Source organism: Homo sapiens, chromosome 5, assembly GCF_000001405.40.
Source record: "Homo sapiens chromosome 5, GRCh38.p14 Primary Assembly".
NCBI lineage: Eukaryota > Metazoa > Chordata > Mammalia > Primates > Hominidae > Homo > Homo sapiens.
Genome location: NC_000005.10, coordinates 55,884,362 through 55,907,500, shown reverse-complemented (window position 1 = coordinate 55,907,500; position 23,139 = coordinate 55,884,362). Strand labels below are relative to the sequence as shown.

At 43.8% G+C, this 23,139-nt stretch overlaps 1 protein-coding gene across 10 annotated transcripts in view, besides 4 other annotated features; it reads right to left on the bottom strand.

The window, feature by feature from the left end:
- IL31RA (interleukin 31 receptor A) overlaps nt 1-23,139 on the bottom strand; it is an 83,062-nt gene that overhangs the window by 15,350 nt on the left and 44,573 nt on the right. For all 10 annotated transcript variants that reach the window (XM_011543142.3, NM_001242638.2, NM_139017.7 and 7 more), the window contains 5 exons: nt 17,366-17,531; nt 11,072-11,151; nt 7,369-7,585; nt 1,213-1,395; nt 41-142 (listed from right to left, as the gene is read on the bottom strand). In XM_011543142.3, coding sequence (XP_011541444.1) covers nt 41-142; nt 1,213-1,395; nt 7,369-7,585; nt 11,072-11,151; nt 17,366-17,531 — 748 coding nt within the window. The remainder of the gene's footprint in view (nt 1-40; nt 143-1,212; nt 1,396-7,368; nt 7,586-11,071; nt 11,152-17,365; nt 17,532-23,139) is intronic.
- Nucleotides 3,599-4,098: an enhancer, noted in NCBI's record as "H3K4me1 hESC enhancer chr5:55199231-55199730 (GRCh37/hg19 assembly coordinates)". NCBI's record gives its function as "activates a minimal SCP1, AML or CMV promoter by ChIP-STARR-seq in primed H9 embryonic stem cells {active_cell/tissue: H9 hESC(primed)}" and the evidence as "EXISTENCE:reporter gene assay evidence [ECO:0000049][PMID:30033119]".
- Nucleotides 3,599-4,600: a biological region, named in NCBI's record as "H3K4me1 hESC enhancers GRCh37_chr5:55198729-55199230 and GRCh37_chr5:55199231-55199730".
- Nucleotides 3,660-4,309: an enhancer, noted in NCBI's record as "active region_22559". NCBI's record gives its function as "activates an Ori minimal core promoter by ATAC-STARR-seq in GM12878 lymphoblastoid cells {active_cell/tissue: GM12878}" and the evidence as "EXISTENCE:reporter gene assay evidence [ECO:0000049][PMID:35858748]".
- Nucleotides 4,099-4,600: an enhancer, noted in NCBI's record as "H3K4me1 hESC enhancer chr5:55198729-55199230 (GRCh37/hg19 assembly coordinates)". NCBI's record gives its function as "activates a minimal SCP1, AML or CMV promoter by ChIP-STARR-seq in naive H9 embryonic stem cells {active_cell/tissue: H9 hESC(naive)}" and the evidence as "EXISTENCE:reporter gene assay evidence [ECO:0000049][PMID:30033119]".

Here is a 23,139-nt window from a genome sequence, read left to right as displayed (position 1 = left end):
CACTGTTTCCTTTTCCCCACAGGGTCTTGTCCATTCATACCGCCTTCTTTGGCATAAGCCTGGATGGAATATGGCTCGCCAACTTTGTCATGCAACATTGGATACACAGAGATGTTATAGCACCAGAAAGGTTTTAATTTATCTGTGAAAAAGAAAGAAAAAAAAGTGTAAGTGCAGAGCACGGCAGAGTGGGGGGAATACTAGACTAAGAGTTATGGCCAAACACTTATAGAAGATATTCCATTTCTCTACAGTTTCCACCTCTGGAAAATAAACAGGTTAGGTTGAATGGTCTCTAATATCTATTGCTTTTCTCAGATTTTCTAACTAATTCTTATTTTTAAATTTAGCTTTTTAGCTTTTTATTTTTTGGAGGCAGGGAATCCCCAGGTCTGTTCTGACCAAATACTATTGCAGCAGAGAGATCCATAGGATCGCTGAACACGCTGCCTAATTAAGTTCTAGAACAACATATCATCACCCTGTGGATCTCAAACACTGTGACTTCTATCTCCTCTACTTGCCTGCATCCCTGCCTGTGTATTATTCTTAATATGGATGTTTGAAGCATTAAGAAATGATTGTGGTGACAGGATTAAAAGGGTAAAGCCTCATTAGGGAGGCTGAGGCAGGAGGATCACTTGAGCCCAGGAGTTTGAGGTTACAGTGAGCTATGATCGTGCCACTGCACTCCATCCTTGGCAATCAAGCAAGACCCTGTCTCTAGAAAATAAAAATTTAAACAAAATTAAAAATAAAGAGTAAAGCCTCACTCGCATATCTTACGTAGGGCAGGGACTTTCCTGAAAAGAAGGCTATTCCTATAACAATCACCTGGGAAGGGGGCCTAACTCTTAAACAGGCAATCAGAACTGAAGAAAATATCCTAGGTAGGCCAGCTGGGATCCACATTCTGGAGTTATCCATGGGATGACCCAGCTATCCGGGAAGGACTCTCTGATGGTGGGTGTTAAGATGGTGTTTTCCACCTGGAGATCGATCAGATACCTGGTCTGCTTGACACCCACAGCTTTCTGTGCCAGCCTTGCCTTGGAAATACCAAGAAGCGTGTCACTTCATTAAGCTTGCACAAGCTTGACAAATGCTATTAACCACACTAACAGCTTTGAAGCCAAAGTTAAAGATCTAAAAATGGATGAAAATGAAACCAAACCCTGCACTGAGGGAACCTGTGAGTTCCGCCCTGGCTACCTTGCTGGATCGTCCAGTTCGTGGCCTGAGACACAGATTCCCAGGAAAGGGTGGTGGGCTCTGAGTCCACATCCGGAAACCATTCAATCATCCAAGTGTTCACGTCTAGAGCAGAGCTTTGCCACTTCACCACTAGCTGGTCCTCAGCAACGCAGGCCTGCATGACCTCAATGCACTGAAATGCTGAAAGGAGAGAAAAGGACTGCTTCACAGCTACCCAACTCATTCCCCAAATGCAACAACCACACTGGCATCCTCATTGCCTCAGCTGTAAAACAAGGCCAAAGTTCAGGATCTCCACTGCAGCCTCCCCGGATGGGGCTCTTTTCACTCCCCTTATTGCATCCTTTTTCCTTACACAACACCTTGAGGAGTAAGTGGCTTCTTAATCTTCCTTTACCTAACCCCAAATTGACCTGTTTCCAGAAAAGGATCTCACTAGACAGTTGATGACTAAAAAGACTTACCTTCCACAGGTGTCTCTGCAAGTGAAATGGAAAGGAAACCTGAAACAGAGAATCTCCAAAGGTAGAATTTCAGGCTCTGGGGAATTGTGTGGCTGGGAAGCTGGGAGATGGTGACCTTAAAATCATACCAGGGAGATGGCTTTACGCTTTCACTATATAGTCTGGCTCTGCACAAACTGGATATGAATTCCTATCCTCAAGGCAGCAAATATTGCATTTCTACCAGAAAGATAAAGACATTGCCATCCAAATTACCTAGTATGGATCAATACATAAATGGCAACATTTTCTGCAGGACTGGCCAAAATAATCTGGAAACAGGTCACAAGGATTTATTTAATAGAAAAGTTGAGTGTGTGGCTTGCAATCCAACATCTGGAACTTAATCAGAATCAGACAGAGATCTTACTGAAAATATTCGAACACACAGAAGAGAACTCTTGGAGGTGCAGCAAGGCAGAGGTGGAAGGTACAAACTGGGCGGGGCTCAGAAATTCCAGGGCATGCTCTCCCCTCACCCAATCCTCACCAGCGTTGCACTCCTCAACCTGCAAAACTCGAATCCATGGGAAAAGCGTTTCTTTTTCTTTTTCTTTCTTTCTTTCTTTTTTTTTTTTTTTTGAGGCAGAGTCTCGCCCTGTCACCCAGGCTGGAGTGCAGTGGCATGATCTTGGCTCACTGCAACCTCCACCTCCTGGGTTCAAGTGATTCTTGTGCCTCAGCCTCCCGAGTAGCTGGGACTATAGGTACATGCTAACACACCTGGCTAATTTTTTGTATTTTTAGTAGAGATGGGGTTTCACCATGTTGGCCAGGCTGGTCTCAAACTTCTGACCTCAAGTGATCTGCCCAGCTCAGTCGGTCTCCCAAAGTGCTGGGATTACAGGCACGAGCCACCACGCCCAGCCAGGAAGAGTGTTTCAATGAATGTCAGAGATGATCCTGGATACAGGCACAAAAGTGTCCTGCAAAAAAAAAAAAAAAAAGAAACCCAAAAGTCTTTTGAAGCTGGAAGCCTAGGCCACATGTAGGAATCTGGGGTGGGGACCAGGGGTCCTGCATCCTGCTATTCCTTGGCAACAAACCCCAGCAGGCTGTGTGTATATTTAGGAGTCTTGTTCTTGTAAGCCACAGTTGACGGATCCTTTTCCCAAACAGGGTCCTTATGAGACACTCCAGGGGCTAGTCCTAGCAGCAAGGCCAGGTAAGTTGTCAACCTGAAAAGGTAACTCTGAGAAGGACAACTGAGGCATGGAGGAAATGTGAAGCCACAGAAGGAGCAGAGGCCGGGGCAAGAAGCACAGAGCCTGGAGATTGACCCCACCTAACCCTAGGGCTCTGAGTTTCTCCTTCCAGCCTTCCCCTGCTCACCGCCTGGAAGCATACCCAGCCAGTCCTGGCTGAAAGTCCCTGCTGGAGCCTTGGAGATGTAACTAGACTCTTCTAGCAGCCAATGTTGGCGCTCCACCCAGACCCACTCAGCTTCCTTCTTACTGTGTGCTTGTGTTTTGCTTGGCTGGGATGACTATGAGATGTCACTCACACTCTAGATAGAGTCCCCTGCAAGATCCAGTGGGAACCCCCCTCCCTGGGGCTTTTATCTCAGATTGTACCTGTTACAGGTTGAATTGTATCCCCCCAAAGTATATACCCAGTGCCACACAATGTGACTGTATTTGGAAATAGGCCATTGCAGATGTAATTAGTTAAGACAGTGGGCCCTTTATAAGAAAAGAGGAATCTGGGCATGGAAACAGAGACACACAAGAAGCTAGCCATGTGAAGACTGAAGCAGAGATTGGATTTATGGGAGTTACTGGAGCTACCACAAGCCAAGGAATACCTGGGGCCACTACAAGCTGGAAGGGGTAAGGAAGGATTCTCCCCTAGAGACTTTAGGGAGCATGGCCAACCAGCACCTTGATGTGGGACTTCTGGCCTCCAGGACCATGAGACAATAAAGTTCTGTTGTTTGAAGCCCCCCAGTCTGCAGTGCTTCGTTTTGGCAGCCCTGAAAGCCCACCTTCATCTCAGCCTCTGCCCTGTCCTGGCCTGCTTCTGCAGCTTCCTCATCTCCCTGGAGGCACTTTTTTAAAAAATGATTGCCCACAAATCCTGGCCTGAAGAAGCCAGTGTTGGTGTCTAAACCCACACTCCTTCTCACCAACACTGGAGCTCTGAGGAGCAGGGAGATCCGGGTCTAAAGCGCCAAGTGCACTGCAGAGACTGCGGAGACCACAGGGGCGTGGCGCCGGCCCCAGGAAACCATGAGTCAACCTTGAAAGGGGAAAGCCTGGCCACACCAAGGGGCGCCAAAAGGGGAATTTCCAAGTCATCACTCTACTCAATATAAACGAATCGCCGGGTCCTTCCATCATTCAACAAGAGCTTTCTGAGCAATTACTCCAAACATCCCCAGGTGTGGTGGGAAACACAGATCCTTCCTTGAAGAAGCAGGGAGGGGCTTTGACTGTGAAAGCCATTGATTTCTTGTGATCTGCATGAAGACAGTCACCCGGGGCTCACGTGCTGGTGCTGCTTCTCCTTTGCCAACCGTCCTGGCCCATCCTGAGCTCTGCCCCAACTTGGGCCCATCTTCCTCCTCTGGCCTTATGACACAGTGGCCGGGCTTTCCGATGCCCTGCCTGGGACCACGCCACCGCTGCCTGCTGTCTCGGGTCTCACAAAACCCAGGGCGTGCTGAGCAGAAGGAACCTCATTCCAAGCCCTTATTCCAAGAGGGGAACGTGGAGGCCCGCACAGGTCAATAACCAGTTCAGTGTCACACAGCATCTGTGACCGGAATTCAAGTCACTTTATGAATAACACATCTAAGGTTGTGGGATATGGTACAAGTTGGGAATCCTGCAGATCCGAGCTGGAATCATCCCACTCCAGAGACCTTGGGCACATTACTAAGCTTGCCTGAATCCCTTTGCCGTCTATAAAATAGATCTCACAGCATCTACATCATGAGTCATGTCAAGGCTAAAATGGGAAAACCTATGTTATCTTAGCACAATTCCTGACACATACTAGTAGACAATGTATGATAACTATTACTTAATGATAGTTATACTTACAAAAATTATCTTATTATTCTCTAGTTATTATTCTCATTCTCCAGTTGCCTCCACTTTAGTAAGCAAAATTCTGTAGAATATTACTTTCTTTTGTTTGTTTTTGAGACAGGGTCTCGCTCTGTCACTCAGGCTGGAGTGCAGTGGTACAATCTCGGCTCACTGCAGCCTCAACCTCTTTGGCTCAAGCGATTCTTCCCCCTCAGCCTCTCAAGTAGCTGGGACTACAGGCACATGCCACCAGGCCTGGCTAATTTTTGTATTTTTTTTTTTTTTTTTTTTGTAGAAACAAGGTTTCACTATGTTGCCTGGACTTGTCTTGAACTCCTGAACTCAGCGATCCACCCGTCTTGGCCTCAAAGTGCTGGGATTACAGGCGTGAGCCATCGTGCACATCCAGAACATTATTTTCTTTTATGTCTGGGACTAGCATCTGTAAAGTTTCTCTGTAAAGAGCCAGATAGCAAATATTTTAGATTTTAGGTTTTGTGGGCTAGGTCGTCTCTGTCATAACTATTCAACTTAGCCACCGTTGCACAAAAGAAGCCATAAATAATATGTGAGCAAATATGTGTGGTTGTGTTAGAGTGAAACTTCATTTACAATAACAAGTGTCCAACCAGATTTAACCTGCAAGCTGCAGTGTGCCAATACCTGATCTAGGACCCTTATAATTGATGATCACACAGTCGTATCTGACACAAAGCCAAAAAAAACCTAAGTGAATTTAGCATAACTTTAAAGTGTATTTTATAATATTTTTAAAGTCGATAATCTGTGTCTAACAGAAATTTGATCAATCAGAAATTTTATTAAGAATGACAATAAGCCAGGAGCAGTGGCTCACGCCTGTAATCCCAGCACTTAGGGAGGCTGAGGCAGGTGGATCACCTGAGGTCAGGAGTTCGAGACCAGCCTGACCAACATGGAGAAACCCCGTCGCTACTAAAAATACAAAATGAGCCTGGTGTGGTGGCACATGCCTGTAATCCCAGCTACTCAGGAGGCTGAGGCAGGATAATTGCTTGAACCTAGGAGGTGGAGGTTGTGGTGAGCTGAGATCACACCATTGCACTCCAGCCTGGGCAACAAGAGCGAAACTCCATCTCAAAAATTAATAATAATAATAATAATAATAATAATAATAATAATAATGACAATAGTAATAATTAGCACCAGACAAAGCATTTTACATACATGATCTCATTTAATCTTCACTACAGCTCTGTGAGGTAGGTATTATTATATAATAGCTCCATTTTACGAGTAGCTAATCTTCAGAGAAGTTAGGTAACTTGCCCAAGGTTAATGGTATCTTGTGGAAGAGCAAAGATTTGAACCCGGGGCTGCTGGACTCCAAAGCCCATGCTTTTATACCCTATTCTTTACCACCTCCCATCCTGGGGCCACACTGGGAAACTGAGGTTACTATTTAACAGCACCTCTATTAATAAAGAATGTGTGCCCCAATGACACGTGCATTTGTCAGGAACTTCATCACTAGGGTGTTGGACAGGCGGGAACTAGGATGTCAGGAAATGAGGACTACAGGGAGTACTATTAAATGCTAACTAAAATAATATCAAGTGTAGCTCAAAATACAAAAATATAAATATCTAGGAATTATAAAATGAGGGTTTAAGGAGAAGAGATGGAAGGCAGCACAGGCAGAGAATTCTAGAACTGGTTGTGTAAATGTCTGAACCAGTCTAGGTGTAAGCAAATAGAGAAAGGTGGTGAATTGGAGAGAACATTCCTGACTATGATATGTTTCCACAAATAGTTACTGCACACCTGCTCTATGCCAACTGCTCTATGCTATTTTAAGTGTTGGGAATTAGGTTAAAAAAAAGAAAGGAAAACAGACAAAAAATCACTGCCTTCATGGCATTTACATCCTATTGAGGAAGAAAAAGGTAGTAAAATAAATAAGATAATTTATAGAATAAGGGATAGTACTAAGTTTGAAAGAGAAAAATAAGAGAGAAAAGAGGAAATCTATTGTCTGCAATTCTTTGAATGAAAGTTTTTTATTCCAAAACAGGATAAATATGAGTTTGCCTGGGAGCAGTAATATGTCAAAAACTACTTAACCAAAAGTGTAATGAACAATTTATTGGCAAGTATAAACACTAGAATTTTTCCATAGTGACAAATGGAAGGGGAAAAGGAAGAAAACAGGACAGCAAGCATTAAACCAAGGATGGGGATGTGGTGAGTACCCATTTGTGGGGAGAAGAGTTCAAGGGCAGCTTCGGTCACGGAGGACAAATGTGAGAAATAGGACAGTTTCATAGGACTTGACCCAGCTTACATTCACCCAGACCAGAACAAATCAAAGCTGCACACAGAACTTCTAGGTGTATGGCTTTGTATTCTGTAATTTATAAAGTCTCTGATTTTTAACGCAGGCTTTGTTCCAAAGGAACATGACTTCAAGTGATTCATTAATTACCAGCAAATTCTCATTGCTTCACCACAACCTAAAAGGTTCCCACTCCATTTTCATTTTGACTCAAGAGAAACAGCCACCCTTGAGAGCACAGGGACTGCTCCTTGGCCAATTGATGGGACCAGGCACCTAAGGAAGAAGTTGATGCTCTACTTACATTTTTCTTGAATAGCTGGAATCCTCAGGGTGGCCACTGGAGACTTCCCAAGAGAATTATAAGAAATCATAGACACCCAAAAGCTCTCGCCTCCCAGATGCAGTTCAAGCTGCTGGTTAGTAGTGTTCATTGTTTCTGTGAGGTTAGTGTTGCTTTCTGGATAGTACCATATGTTGTAGCCAAGTGTTTTCTCTAGGACTGGGGCTCCTCTTGCCTTCTGAACCCAAAGAAAACAAAATTTATTGCCAATAACAAAGAAAAAGAAAGGCATTGAGACAGTGAGAAGCGGTGGGGGTGAGGGTGGGGAATAAGGCTAACTATTAGATACTAAACTACAATCAGGTAATTACCCTCCAGGGATGAATAAGATCCTGGGCTGTGATAGTAACACTTCAAGTGCCAGAAGAGGGGATTTACTAAATTTCATCTAATTCCATGAGGCTAAACTAGAAGAATGCCCAAAACAATGTAAACAAGCCACCCTTATTTCCTTCTGCCTGTATCTTTCGCTCCATCCCACTCGTGTAAAGGAGTAAGGGCTAAAAAGCTGACACATTCCCTCTCAGCCCATCCAAAGTCTGGTCTGGCTCTGAGTCATCTCTTGCCTGGAGTATCCAAAGGTTGGAGAGTACCCTATGCCCTAGTCTTTTATTTCCATGCCTCTCCCTCTGAGAAGGGAGCCAGCTTCCCTGGACCAGGCGCCCCAGCCAGGCGTCCTAGCTAAGAGGGCCGCACTGCCAGTCCCAAACCCTTGGCGAGAAGTTTAAGGTGGAATCCTGAGGACTTTAAGCTAAACTCTTATTTTCAGCCTTGAACTTGGGCCCACTCACCAGACATTTGCCTAGGAGACAGTATTTCCCAGAATTTATAGGGCTTCCCCTTCTGTTACTGATTATACACATAGATGGAGCGTAATGCCTGAATATAAGTCCAGGACTTATAAGTGGGACTTTAGCAGGCACTTCGTCCCACTGCCTTCCCAGTTCAGGAATTTCCTTTACTTTTATGTCTAGGCATAAAAGGTCAGCTAGAATCTTCCTAATGACCAGGAGCCTTTTATCTCTCAAGACGACCCATTTTCTATTTTATTGTATTTATTTATTTATTTTGAGACAGAGTCTCTCTCTGTCGCCCAGGCTGGAGTGCAGTGGCCTGATCTTGGCTCACTGCAACCTCCGCCTCTTGGATTCCAGCAATTCTCCTGCCTCAGCCTCCCGAGTAGCTGGGATTACAGGTGTGCACCACCATGCCCGACTAATTTTTGTATTTTTAGTAGAGACAGGGTTTTGCTGTGTTGTCCAAGCTGGTCTTGAACTTCTGACCTCAAGTGATCCCCATGCCTTGGCCTCCCAAAGTGCTGGGATTACCGGCCCAGTCCACGCCCAGCCCCATTTTCTTTTTTAAATAACACATATTCTTTTTAAATAACATATTAATATGTTATTTAAAATCTTTTTAAAAAACATATTAATATGTTATTTAAAATCTTTTTAAAATAACATTAATATGTTATTTAAAATCTTTTTAAAATAACATATTAATATGTTATTTAAAATCTTTTTAAAATAACATATTAACATTTTAAATAACTTTTTTAAATAACATTCTTTTTAAAATAATAAAAATTGAGATACAATTCACATTCCATAAAATTCACTGTTTTAATGTGAGTTCAATGGCTTTTATTAATAGTATGTTCAGTCATGCAACTATCACTATTATTTAATTTTAGAGCATTTTAGTACATTCTTTTTTAACCAACTCAAATTCTTAGAGAGCTCTTTCCTTTTGAAGGTGCGGGGGGGCGGGGGGGTGGTGTGGAGAAAAAGACCAGACCCAACAGGCGACGGGGAGGAGGCGGGCACTGAAATCCATCTTCTCTACTTCGCAAGCTGCCCTACTTGGCCCTTCGCCACTGCTATGTAGCTAAGACCACATGTGGGCGTGTGAGGTTGTTGGCTTTCCTCCCCCAAAAATGTGTTGCCACAATCATTTGTTTTCATACTTGATGGCTGAGAAAGACAGCACAGCATCTGGGATTGATTCTCTAGGATTCCCCGCCATCTCTGGCTGTTGTCCCATGCGGCGGCAGCACCGCCTCCGCAACCCAGGGAGTCCCATAGCCCTGCGGGTGTGGAGGGAGTGGGCGATGGTGCGGGAGCCTCCAACCCTGAGGTAATTGGAATGTCATCTGGCAAAGCAGGACACTTGCTCCATTTTCAACAGGATTTTGAACTTGCCTGGACTTCAGCAAATATGAGCTAACATCATGAGCATTTCCTGGGAATTCTGGAGGCACACGAAGGAATTCTGGCATCTCACTCCTCTCTTCCTTCTTCTTCCCCATCTTTTCACTCTTTTTTTCTCCATCTGCCCTTTTCCTTTTCTGTTTATTCCCTTGTCCCCCCATTTTCTACTCCTTCTCTCACTTCCCTCTCTCAGGTCCTCTTCCCTCTTCTTCTTCTCTGCATTCCCCACCTGACTTCTCCTGTTCCTCACTCCCAGGCCTCCGCCCTAGGAAGGACCATGTGGTCCCTCTTCTGTTTTTGTGCCCCACTATTTCAACACACATGTGCCATATATGTTGCCAATGACTCGAGGACACACCAGCAAGCTGACCCTGATCAGAGCTCTTCTGAGACAGCTGGGTGGGGAGGGGGGTTCCGGAGACTTACGCTGCCTTCCAGCAGAGGCTGGTCAGTGATCGTTTCCTCCAGAAGGTCATGGTGCCTCCTGCACTTTCACTTTCTACCCACCCCGAATGTTAATGTTTCAGACCAAAGAGGAGGGGGACCAGCGTCTGTCATGCATGTTTGGGCCATCTGCAAGATGACCTATAGGGCTTTTTTGAGCTGGCCAACCAATGTGAGATTTGGGGCATCATAAAGCCCTCTAGGGAAGGAAATTCTGGGGGTAAAATTTCAAGAATCACAGTTTTTAGAAGGGTAAGAGATCAAGGGCTTTTAAACAGTATAAAGAAACAGGCTGGGCATGGTGGCTCATGCTTATAATCCCAATGCTTTGGGAGGCTAAGGTGGGAGGATCTCTCGAGCCCAGGAGTTCAAGACCAGCCTGGACAACACAGCAAGACCCAGCCTCAACCAAAAAAAAAAAAAATATATATATATATATTTTTTTTTTTTTTTTAATTAGCTGGGTGTACTGGCACACTTCTGTAGTCCCAGCTACTTGGGAAGGTGAAGTGGGAGGATCACTTGAGCCCAGGAGTTAAAGGCTGCAGTGAGTTATGATTTCACTACTGCACTCCAGCCTGGGTGATTGAGCAAGACTCTGCCAAAAAGAAAGAAAGGCGGCGGTGGGGAGGGAGGGAAAGAGAGAGAGAGATAGAGAAAGGAAGGGAAGGGAAGGGAAGGCAAGGCAAGGCAAGGGAAGGGAAGGAGAGGGAAGGGGAGGGGAGGGGAGGGACTGGGGAGGGGGAAGGGGAGTGGAGAGGGGAGGGGAGGGAGTGGGGAGGGGAAAGGTGAGGCGGGGAGGGGAGGGAGGGAGTGGGCAGGGGGAAGGTGGGGGAAGGGAGGGGAGGGGGAAGGTGGGGGGAAGGGAGGGGAGGGGAGGGGAGGGGAGGGAAGGGAAGGGAAGGGAAGGGAAGGAGGATGGAAGGGATGGAAGGGAGGGAAGGGAGGGAAGGGAGGGAAAGGAGGGAAGGGGAAGAAAGAGAGAGAAAAAGAATCCAGAGGGAGGTCACCTTCCATAACAACCGCACTGGCCTTCTTCCATCCGCCTCAGCTGGTTTCAGGACTCTCCACAGTTCCAGGCCACATGGAGCTGTAAGGAACAAGAATGAGGTACTCAACCCAGAGATAAGGGAGTTGCAGAGGAGACAGGAAAGGTTAGCTGGGCAGTTGGGAAGGATTTGCTTGAGGGAGCCATTGGGAATAAGGTGAGGAGTGGAGGGATGGCAGCTTTGCAATGACCAAAGATGTCTTCATTTTGTGGTCAAGGAACTGGAATCAACCAAAGATAAAAAAATAAAACTGCTCTTGAGTCTGATGATTTAATGTAAGATAAAGGAAAAGTATAATAGGCCCCATTGTAATATAATTTGTCACCCAAATCTAGATCAAAATGTGACTATCTAATGTCCTCTAGATCTAACATATATATTATAGCTGGGAATGACACAGATAACTCACAAGGAGATATATGTATATACAATTTATACCAAGTCTACTTCCAAAAAAATAAAACCACATACTTGAGATGTTATAAAATAAAAGAAAAAATTAAATGACAAAGGAATAAGACAATAAGCTTCACTAGGTCCCTCCTTGAGCTCTAAATTTAACGCTGGTTTTCCCAAAATAAAAAAGAATCACATTGAGGTGCCTATTTCCCATGGCCCAATAAAAAGGAAACCTAGAAATTCATATGAAGGGAAACTATTTTCTGGTTACGAACACTGAAATCATAAATGGAATTTATCACGTGGATCTTTTCAAAAAGGACAGAGAGTAACGTAAAAGCCAATATCTGTAATCCCAATAGAGCAAAAGCACAGAAATATCATATATGTGCATTTTTCATAGCTGTTTTCTATAAATAGCCAGGGCATAAATCCTGACACATGCCTTTTTCCAGTAAACAACACAGTCTGAGACAATAGTCCAAGTGTACAGGCTTCTGATGATCTAACCATATAGGGATGAAACAAAAAACAAGGAATTTACATTTCACTTGATTTCTGGACTGTATCTCTCAAATATCCTGTCTCAAGCAAGTTTTGTCAGGAGATGGCTCACTGGCAATTTATAGTTGAATGCCCTGACATGCACCTGAAATATCAAAATGCTGAGCTACTGATTAGAGAACGACCCACCCACCTTAGCCATGAGAGGAAAGCAGAGAGTTCTAAACAAATGTCGAGACGGCTAGCGGCCCACGATTTGGAGAAGAGAGTAAATGTCCCTAGTCAAAGCTGCAGTAGTTGCACTCTGAATTTTTTCTTGAGGAAGTAGCATGGCTGGAGATAATGTAATTAGGTCCACAAAGAATGAGTCTACCACTCAGACCAATATCTAAACTATTTTTTAGAAGTAAGAGATTGTCTTCAGGGATCTTTTAAACTGTAGGTGATTGGATATCTTAAAGTAAAATTACTGGCTGGGCACGGTGGCTCATGCCTGTAATCCCAGCACTTTGGGAGGCCGAGGCAGGTGGATCACTTGAGGTCAGGAGTTCGAGACCAGCCTGGCCAATGGTGAAACCCTGTCTCTACCAAAACATATAAAAAATTAGCTGGGTGTGGTGGTGTGTGCCTGTAATCCCAGCTACACGGGAGGCTGAGGCAGGAGAATCGCTTGAACCCGGGAAGCGGAGATTGTGGTGAGCTGAGATCGCGCCATTGCATTCCAGCCTGGGAAACAGAGCGAGTCGTGTCTCAAAAGAATTGTTTTTAAAAAAGTAAAATAACTGAACTCCAGCTAAAGACAACCTTATAATGAGGAAAATGTACCAAGTACAATTGAGTTAATAACTTGTTTTGCCTTTAATGGAGAGTCACACTTCTACAACTACTCTTGCAGAAGCCAAAGTCTAGTTAACACAGTCTAGCTGTTAGGCCCAGGATCTCCCAATGAGATAAATGCAATTCCATTAGAATTGCTTATAAGGATATTGAACTGTGTTGACTTTACATATTATTTCATCTGAATCCCACTGAGGTGTTGTCTCAAAAGCTCTGCCATGAGTTTTCTGATTTCTCAAAGGCTTTTATTGAATCATAAGACAGGACAGCCGGTACTCAAATTTCTCAGACAGGAAGCAACAGGCTGGTTTCACCCTGTCTACAAGCCAGTGAGATGTAAGCAGTGGCCAAGTTCCTCCCAGAAGACAGCCTTTGTACAGGACTACAAAGTCATTAGACCTTCCAAGGAAACCCGCAGGATTAGAGGGACCTTTACTCCATCTCTCACGTGCAGAATCTCTCTGTTCCAATCATGTGGAGAGTCAAACTTAAGGCCAGTAATATTGAGAGTAAGAAAAAAAAAAAAATCTAAAGACAAGGTGTTCATTACTACCCAGTCCTAAATATTCATCTCAAGGATAGATACAGGCAAAGCTAAACTGATTATTAAATAATCATTCCAGGCACTTGACTAGAAATATGAGTGAAATTCTTCTTGGATTTAGCCCATAGGCAGCCAGGCATGGTGGCACACACCTGTAGTCCCAGCTATTCGGGAGGCTGAGGTGGGAGGATCACTTGAGCCTGGGAGGCGGAGGCTGCAGTGAGCTGAGATCTCACCACTACATTTCAGTCTGGGTGACAGAGTGAGACCCCGTCTCAAAAAAAAAAAAAAAAAAAATTATCTCATAGGCAGCCATTTTGTTTTTGTAGATGGTAATAATAAATGAGTTTAAATTGATATTTTCTTCTTTCATTGAGGCCACTATTTCCTGCAAATATGGTCCAAAGAGAGACAGTCTTCTCAGTATAGACTTCCCACAGATGCAGCTGTTAGTGAAACTGCTGCCTCACTACCATGTAAGTCTTCTATAGTTATTATAGCCAGCTTTCCATTAACCGTAAATTGATCATGGATTTTCAGTTTAATCAAAGGGGGAAATGTAAGGACTCTGAAAAAAAAATTAAAATTTTCCAAATCAACCAAAATGTCTACATATTCAAAGGCATCAATTGTCTGGACTGATGCAGCAACAATTGATGCTATACCATTTCTATGACAGTATGGGCATCCCCACAACCAGCAGCAGTTAGACATGTGCAGGTGCCCCTGCTAGAGACCAACAATAATACAAGCTAGCTCTTAGCAAGTGTCAGTTTCTCTGAATTTTCTCATTTAATGCCCACAGCCCTGTAATCAGATACAGCAATAATGTTACTAATCATCATTTCTGAAGCACAGAGAAATTAAGCAGGTATTCAATATCATAAGCGTTTAAGAAATAAAGCCAGGATTTGAATCAAATTATTTCTGTATCATGTAGTGAGTAGATATTTAAATGCCTAAATATAGGTAAGTAACTCTAATAATCAATATATTGAAATCCAAAATAAAATAGGCAGTGCTTCACATTCAACTTAGAATACATGTTTTGAAACAATTAGAGAGGTTTGAAGTGGTACGCATTAAACAAATGGCATTTCATTGAAATAGGAAAACACACGCTTTATAAATTTGAAAACAAGAAATGAGGATTGGCTGGGGGGTGCATTTTAATCAGTTTCTTCTGGGATCCTGAAAAAATGAAGAAGGACAAAAGCAAAAGTTCTCTAGTGGTGACTTTGATAAATAAGTGTTTGCTAATTAAATCAAGCTAGCTGAACTAATAAATCAGATGAAATAGCAAATCTTTTTTCTGGCAGCAAAACAAGCTGAGAAAACTGACACGAGGGACTGGCTGGTCTGTGATAAGCTTGAGACTCTGAGCCACGATGGCACCAGGAGGTCACTAGAAAGAAGAGTGACAGCCATGGCAGGGGAAGAGCTAGGCAAAACACAATGGCACCCAAGGGAGCACTTAATCATCAGCTTGCCTGCTGAAAAGTGAGGCAAAGGAAGAGAACTATTTGCTAAATGATACTGCATGAACATCTCCAGTGGGGAACACAAAATTCAGAAGGCATCAAATTGGTTCCAGGCATCTGACCATAGTGGTGAATGCACCAAACATCTGTTAATACTAGTGTTAATACTGGAAACTCAACCAGGATCCAAAGGAATAAATCATTATTGTGTGGATGAGGTAGCACAGAAGTTGACCCCAGATGTTATCTGAGACCAGTCTGCAACTTGGGTATGAGACTGAAATCTAATTTTCTATTACAATATGGGTATCCCTAAACCACCTGAAATCATGAGGCCTGAAATCATGGCCATGGGGGGAGTTCATATTCTAAAACTCACATCCCTTATAAATAAATAAGGTTAAAGCCTCAGAGGAAGGTTAGAAGGGTGGGCATTTTAAAATTTCTTGTCCATCATTCAGAAGAAGATGTGTGGCCATCACCAAGTATTCATCCAATTAGTCATTCATTTACTGTTAGGCTGAAAAATGGCCCTCAAAATATCTTGTCCAGGCCGGGCACAGTGGCTCATGCCTGTAATCCCAGCACTTTGGGAGGCTGAGGCGGGCAGATCATGAGGTCAGGAGATCAAGACTATCCTGGCTAACACGGTGAAACTCCATCTCTAGTAAAAATACAAAAAATTAGCCAGGCGTGGTGGTGGGCACCTGTAGTCCCAGCAACTCGGGAGGCTGAGGCAGGAGAATGGTGTGAACCTGGGAGGCGGAGCTTGCGGTGAGCGGAGATCACACCAATGCACTCCAGCCTGGGCGACAAAGCGAGACTCCATCTCAAAAAAAAAAAAAAAAAAAAAAAAAAAAAAAATCTTGTCCAAATCCCTGGAACCTGTAAATGTTTCCTTATATGGTAAAAGGGACTTTGCAGATGTGATTAAGTTAATGATCTTGAGATGGGAACATTATCTTGGATTAGCCAGGTGGGTCCTAACTGTGATCACAAAAGTCCTTATAAGAGGGAGGCAGAGAGGTTTGACACACAAGAGTGGGGAAAGGTGATGTGATGATGGGGGGATAAGTATTGTAGATGGAAGAAGGACCACAAGCCAAAGAATGCAGGCAGCCACTAGAAGCTGGAGAAGGCAAGGAAACAGATTCTCCACTCAGAGTCTCAGAAGGAAATGGCCCTGCTGACATCTTGACTTTAGCCCAGTGAAACTGATTTTGGACATCTGACTTCCAGAGCTATGAAAGAATACATTAGTGTTGCATTAAGCCACTAAATTTGTATTGTTACAGCAGCAATAGAAAACTGATACATTCATCACACATTTATTGATCGTCCACTGAGGGTCAGACTCTGGGCAAGGCTCTTGAGAAAAGTAACACATGCTGAGTGACCCTGAGCTGTTTATTAGCATCTCTGAAACTCAGTTTCCTCATTTCCAAAATGGGAGTGACTCTACATATTTTATAGTGCTTTAAGGAGGATTAAAAATAATAGTAGGAGGATAAATAATAAGAATAGGAAGTCTAGCAGTTAGTGAATATCTACTATGGGCTAAACACATTATTTCATTTAATCTTTAAAATAATACTAAAAAATAGGTACTACTATAAACTCAACTTACATATTCTATTTCAATATAGAAAAGGGGAATAAATGCGAGGAAACTGCTGAGAATGAACTGAGAGTTTAGGTATCTTGCCCAAAGACACCTGGCTTGGGATTTAAGCCAAGGCCACTGACTGGAAGCGTTGCTCTTAATGACCATACTGACACTTAGTAAGCACTCCATCAACCTGCAATCCATGCCTCTTTCCTTTCCTCACTGTCATTAAAAATGTGATTTTTTAAATTGTATTAGTTACACCTTTATTTATTTTTTGAGTAGTAGCTCCAGGATTCACAATATGTATCTTTAATTTATCACAGGATACCTTCAGATGATATGATACTGGCGGGGCACAGTGGCTCACGCCTGTAATCCCAACACTTTGGGAGGTCAAGGTGGGCAGATTACCTGAGGTCAGGAGTTCAAGACTAGCCTAGCCAACATGGTGATATCCCTTCTCTACTAAAAATACAAAAATCAACCGGGCATGGTCGTGGGCCCCTGTAATCCCAGCTACTTGGGAGGCTGAGGCACAAGAATTGCTTGAACTCGGGAGGTGGTGGTGGCAGTGAGCCGAGATCACATCACTGCACTCCATCCTGGGTGACAGAGTAAGACTCCATCTCAAAAACAAAACAAAACAAAACAAATGATATGATACCCTTTCATGTATAGTATAAGAACCTCATGAGTATTAAAATGTGATCCTTTGCCTTTGGGGCACAAAGTTGTGCAGGCTCACTCTCGATGGTACAGGGGGCCCCTGGGGTCATGAGATTCCATGATTCCCAACCAGGTGGTGACAAACCCCACCAAGTCTAGCCCAAAGCAGCCCTACACCAGAGCAGACAGGACGGGAATCGCAGGGAGTAGCTTGCCTTCTTCCTCAGTCATTCCCATTTTTTCTTGGCTCCAGTCACTCCAGAACTTTGACTCCTTGACCGCACATCGCAGAGCTATGACATATTCTGTAAAAGGCTGCAGCCCCGTGAGGTTGTACGTTTGGTTTTTATCCTTACGGTTCTTAGCGAAGTTGACTTCCATCTACAAGACAGAGACAATCCTAAACTGAAATGGAGACCACACGTTATCCTCCCATTTTCCTCTTCACTACCTAGTGTACTTTTACATTTTTAGAACTAGTAACACTCTAAATCAAATTTTAAAATATATCATTTTTATTAACAGACTTCCATATGTGCCTGGGAACAATTGGTACCTACACAGATATGAACATCCCCATGAACCACCAACTCCCTTCCCATTTCCTGTATCTAAGCTTATGGGGCAGAGATTCCTGCCTCTGGCCTGGTCTGGGTGAGCAGAGCTCTGCTGCTTGCTGTTCTAGAAGACGCAAGCCTCATGACCCAGGGCAACCTGGGCCTAGGAGGTGACTCCAACACCTAGAGATACTGCCTCATGGAACAGCAGAAACAGAGACCTTAGCTGCATCAAATGCAATCCTCACGTCATCCACGAGACCCAGGAAAGTTAAATAACCATTTAAATGAAAGTTAGAAGATCTACAGAATAGGATCAGAACACAGATTTCTTCACTCCTCGGCTTTTTCGTTTTACCCAAATCTTTCACTTCAAAGCACTGGTCTTTGGGTGACCAGTCAAGCTGCTGAAAGTCTCAATGGCCTGAATGTATAAATTAATTTTGATACTCTCTTGGGGAGGAAAGAGGTAAATAAAATCAGTTATTTTCTCTAGATGTCAGCTTCTCATTGGTAAAGTGAAGGTGTTGCTTTATATAATTTCTGGGACTCAGCTCTCCAAGAGAAACTAAACATTTAGCTATTCCTTTTCTGAGCACAGTCATTGTTGCTGCAATATAAACCTTTAGTTCAATATAAACATTTAGCTCAATATTAGCTTTATAAACCTAAAGTTTATAAAACCCAAAGCCTAAAGGTTTATAAAGCTTATTTTGAGCTGATTAATAAAAAAATAAACTGCACTAATAGGCATGTCTATTTAACTAGTATGCACACAGCATCGTCCCATGGATCCTGCAAGAGAAGGAAGTCCTGATACTACTTGCATCTATGTCCCAGCTGTGAAAATTAGTACCTAATTGCAGCTCCTGTGCTTTAAGGAAATTGGGCAGAAGGAGGATATGTGTCTATGGCAGAAAGCTGACAGCCGCAGATGGACTTTGGAACTCCCAGCCTGGTGAGATGGAGGTGGAACAAGAAGAGGCAATGACACTTTGGGGGCTAAATCCCAGGTTCCCTGAGCATCCTCTTCAAACAGGCCCCGGAGATGCTGTGATGGCAGACTAGGGTTGTGGAGAGAGTAACTTGAGACAGCCTGTTGTTAGTTAGGGATCCAACTAGAACAGGATTAAGACTGCCAGGAAAGGCCCAACCACATGGTGCCCTCCATATGTGATTTAAAATAAAAATACTAATCCATACAGCAAGTGTAAGGAAGTCTAATAAACCTCTATTTTACTTGTCATGCTTTAAAAAATATATAATATTCTTCTTTTTAACCTTTCAATTTTTCCTCCTGCTTTGTTGTACCCTTAGCACATGCTCAGCCTGTGTAGTGGTTCTCATCACGTACATTACACAGAAAGTTCTGCCTAATGTAGCCACGGAAGCCTCTTCCTCCCAGCCCCGGCCTCAGAGAAGATGAAACGGCTGCTCAGTCTTTTAATCAAGGTGCCTGTAAGGCTCCTTTACTTTGTTATTTTGTCCAGCCAAGGTGCCTCTGGCTCCGACAGGATCCAGGATCAATTGATCCTTTATATACAGGCTTAGATCCAAAACTTCCCCAACTCTGCACAGGCAATGGAACCCTACTAAAACATTAATTAGCTTCATCATGTTCACTGTTAACAATCTATGCTTTGTGCCAAATCCTAACTCACCCAAAGTGTTTGTCTTAATAGATGAGTCAGAAGTTCTGATACAAAACCTAAATCAAATTCTGTGTGTGTGGTTTTTTGTTTTTTTTTTTTTCCCTGACTCTGTTGCCCAGGCTGGAGTGCAGTGGCACGATCTTGGCTCACTGCAACCTCTGCCTCCCGGGTTCAAGCGATTCTCCTGCCTCAGCCTCCCCAGTAGCTGGGGCTACAGGTCCGCACCACCACGCCGGGCTAATTTTTTCTTTTTTTTTTTGAGACAGAGTCTTGCTCTGTCACCCAGGCTGGAGTACGGTGGCGATCTCGGCTCACTGCAAGCTCCACCTCCTGGGTTCATGCCATTCTCCTGCCTCAGCCTCCCGAGTAGCTGGGACTACAGGTGCCTGCCAACACGCCCGGCTAATTTTTTGTATTTTTAGAGGGACGGGGTTTCACCGTGTTGGCCAGGATGGTCTCGATCTCCTAACCTTGTGATCCACCCGCCTCAGCCTCCCAAAGTGCTGAGATTACAGGCGTGAGCCACCGTGCCCGGCCATTCCCGGCTAATTTTTTTGTATTTTTCGTAGAGACAGGGTTTCACTATGTTGGCCAGGCTGGTCCCTAACTCCTGATCTCAGGTGATCCACCCACCTCGGCCTCCCAAAGTGCTGGGATTACAGGCGTGAGCCACTGCACCCAGTCCATAAATCAAATTCTTAAAATACTTTTGAGATCCCTTTCTAAGAGGCTCACATGGCTTTATTATACAAAGGTGCAAACCCTTTAGACTAGGGCCACAAAAGAATCTGGAGGGTGTTGAGGTAAGGTCACATGGATGGCAAACCTGGGAGACAGAAAACCTGAGCTTAGGTTTGCAACTGACAAGCCCTGTGATCTTGAATAGATGATTTAAGCTTTCAACATCTTGATTTCCTAATCTGCAAAAATGGGGATAGCAAGGCCTCAATTACAGGATATTTGCAAGGATTAAATAATTTGGAGTATAAGGAAGCTCTTTGTTACTCATAATATCATACAAATATGGGTCTTGTTAAACGGACATGTTGGAATTTTAGCATTAGTTTTACATGGCTACATTTAAACAAATATTTATTGAGCACAGGCATGCACCAGGCAAAGGGAAAACAGATGAAAACTAAGGTCCCTGCATTTGAAGAATTTACAGTGTAACTGGAAGAGAAAGTTGAAATGCATTGCTGTTAAGTGCAATGACAGAAGCATGCAGAGGAGGGACCAGGCCCAGGCCCTCAGAAGGAAATATGTCAGGCCTGAGTTCTGAAAGGTGGAGATTGGGGCAGGAGAGGTGCAAAAGCAGAGGGTGTTCTAGGAAAGGCACAGAAAGAGTGAGAGAACATGATGCAAGGGAAACAAGCAATTCAGAATGACCAGAGAGGCAAGAGCAAGAGCGTGAAGGGATCGGTAGATGCCAGGTCTCACAGAGTTAATAATTTGGACCCTTTTCCATCAACAATGGAAATCTTTGATAGAAGGTTGGGAAGAGCAGAGTTGGGTTTAGCTGGGATTGCAACTGAGGATAACTGCTTGTATTTGAAAGCTAAGGAGAAGGCCAGGCATGGTGGCTTATGCCCATAATCCCAACACTTTGGGAGGCTGAGGCAGGTGGATCACCTGAGGTCAGGGGTTCGAGACCAGCCTGACCAACATGTGAAACCCCATCTCTACTAAAAATACAAAAAATTAGCCAGGTGTGGTGGCACAAGCCTGTAATCGCAGCTACTTGGGAGGCTGAGGCAGGAGAATCACTTGAACCCCGGAGGTGGAGGTTGCAGTGAGCCAAGATCATGCCATTCACTCCAGCCTGGGCAACAAGAGTGAAACTCCACCTCAAAAAAAAAAAAAAAAAAAAAAAGCAAGCAAGCAAGCAAGCAAGCTAGCTAAGGAGAGAGAAAGAGTAGTACAGACTTCCACCTTCCTTCCTGCATCCTCCAGGAAAACAGGAGGCAGGACATTTTACCTCTGGGACTGGCAGGAAGCAAAGATGAGTACAGATGTGGGTGAGTTTGTTAAAGATACGGGGTACAGGATGCCAAGGGTTGGGTAGTTTATACCCGTTGCCCTCACTTAGTGTTATATGCGGTATAGTAATTTTCCAGAGGGACTCTGGTCCTGGTTTATTTTTCTTGTTGAATCCTATCCCCCAGCAGCTGTAGTAACTCTGCACTCAGCCAAATAGAAGGAATTAAGGGTTTATAGCCAGTAGACTATCCCAGAAGTTTCTCAGGTTCACGGAGACCATGACATGTGGTATGAAGAGGAGCTTGTGCTATACCGGGGACTGCTCTGCTTAGGGGTTCCCCAAACTACAATTAATGAATCTAATGTTCCATGTAGGCAGGTTCAAAGAGAATGGTTCCAGAGCTGGCTTAGAAAGGAAGCTGGGGGGAGAAGTGGCCATTATCATCTCTCTGAACACAGTGATAGAGGCAGAAGGCAGATAAGGGGGGTTCCCAGAGAATCTCTGACCCGCCCAAGTGTTTACATCAGATGCTTTTGTGTAGATGAGGAAACCTGCCCAGGGTCTTGTCCGCGCATGTCGACAACAGACTGGGGACCCGCCTGTGCACTGGGAGAATGGGGTGGAGCCACGGGAAGTTCACGCTTTGTGCAGGGGGAAGGAGCCTGGCCTCTTTAGCTCCTGTGTGGTGGCCTGGTATTCAGTCTGTGAGGTGGTAGCCTGTTAGCAGGAGCCCATCTCGCTTTGCTGAGAATTTTTTTCTCTTTTTTCCTTTTCGCCCAATAAATTCCTCTCTCCTCACCCTTCAATGTGTCCACGTGCCTAATTTTTCCTGTTGACACAAGAACCCGGATTTAGCTGAACTAAGGAGCAAAAATTCTGCAACAATAGGACAAATAATGCTTTTCTGAAAGAGTTCCAGACAAGGAGAGCATGCTGCAGTAAACAGGGTGTCTATGGGTTTCCACAAGGGAAAGGGTCGCATGATAGCCTCCTGGACAAGATAAAAAAAAGTAGGCTGAATGATGATAGTGGTAATTAGGTATATTCATAGAAACCTGAATAAATGACCATATCCAAAGGAGGGGTTGATCCTCTGGATGGTTTCTACTGGTTTACCACAGGGCTCTGATGTAGTCACCATTTTTATTAATAATTAGATAAAGGTATAGAAGGAAGTGTTATCAAATCTGGGGATACTGAAAAGTTAAAAAGTAAAAAGTTAATCATAAGTTTTGGGTGACCAAACAGGATTCTAAATAGGCTGGAATGATAGATAAGACCAACATGAAGACATTCAATAAGAATAAATAAAACACCTGAACTTAGGTTAAAAACCAACAAATGATAAGATAGTAGAGGTATGTTTTACTGGCAAGTCTTCAGGAGGTAAAAAGTCTTAAAGATTTAATTGGCTAATAGTTGATTAAAAGTCAATAATGTGTCTGCTCATGATGGCTCACACCTGTAATCTCAGAACTTTGGGAGGCTGAGAGAGGAGGATCACTTAAGACCAGGAGTTCCAGACCAACCTGGGCAACACTACAAAAAAAATTTAAAAATCAGCCAGGCATGGTGGCATATGCCTGTAGTCCTAGCTGCTCGAGAGGCTGAGGCAGGAGGATCGTTTGAGCCCAAGAGTTCAAGGCTGCAATGAGCTGCAATCACACCACTGCACTCCAGCCTGGGTAACAGAGTGAGACCCTGTCTAAAATTTATAAAAAGGCAATAAATATGAGATGATTACAAAAAGGTGATACAATTTCAGGCTGCATTGATGGAAACTGCAGAATATTTTCTTG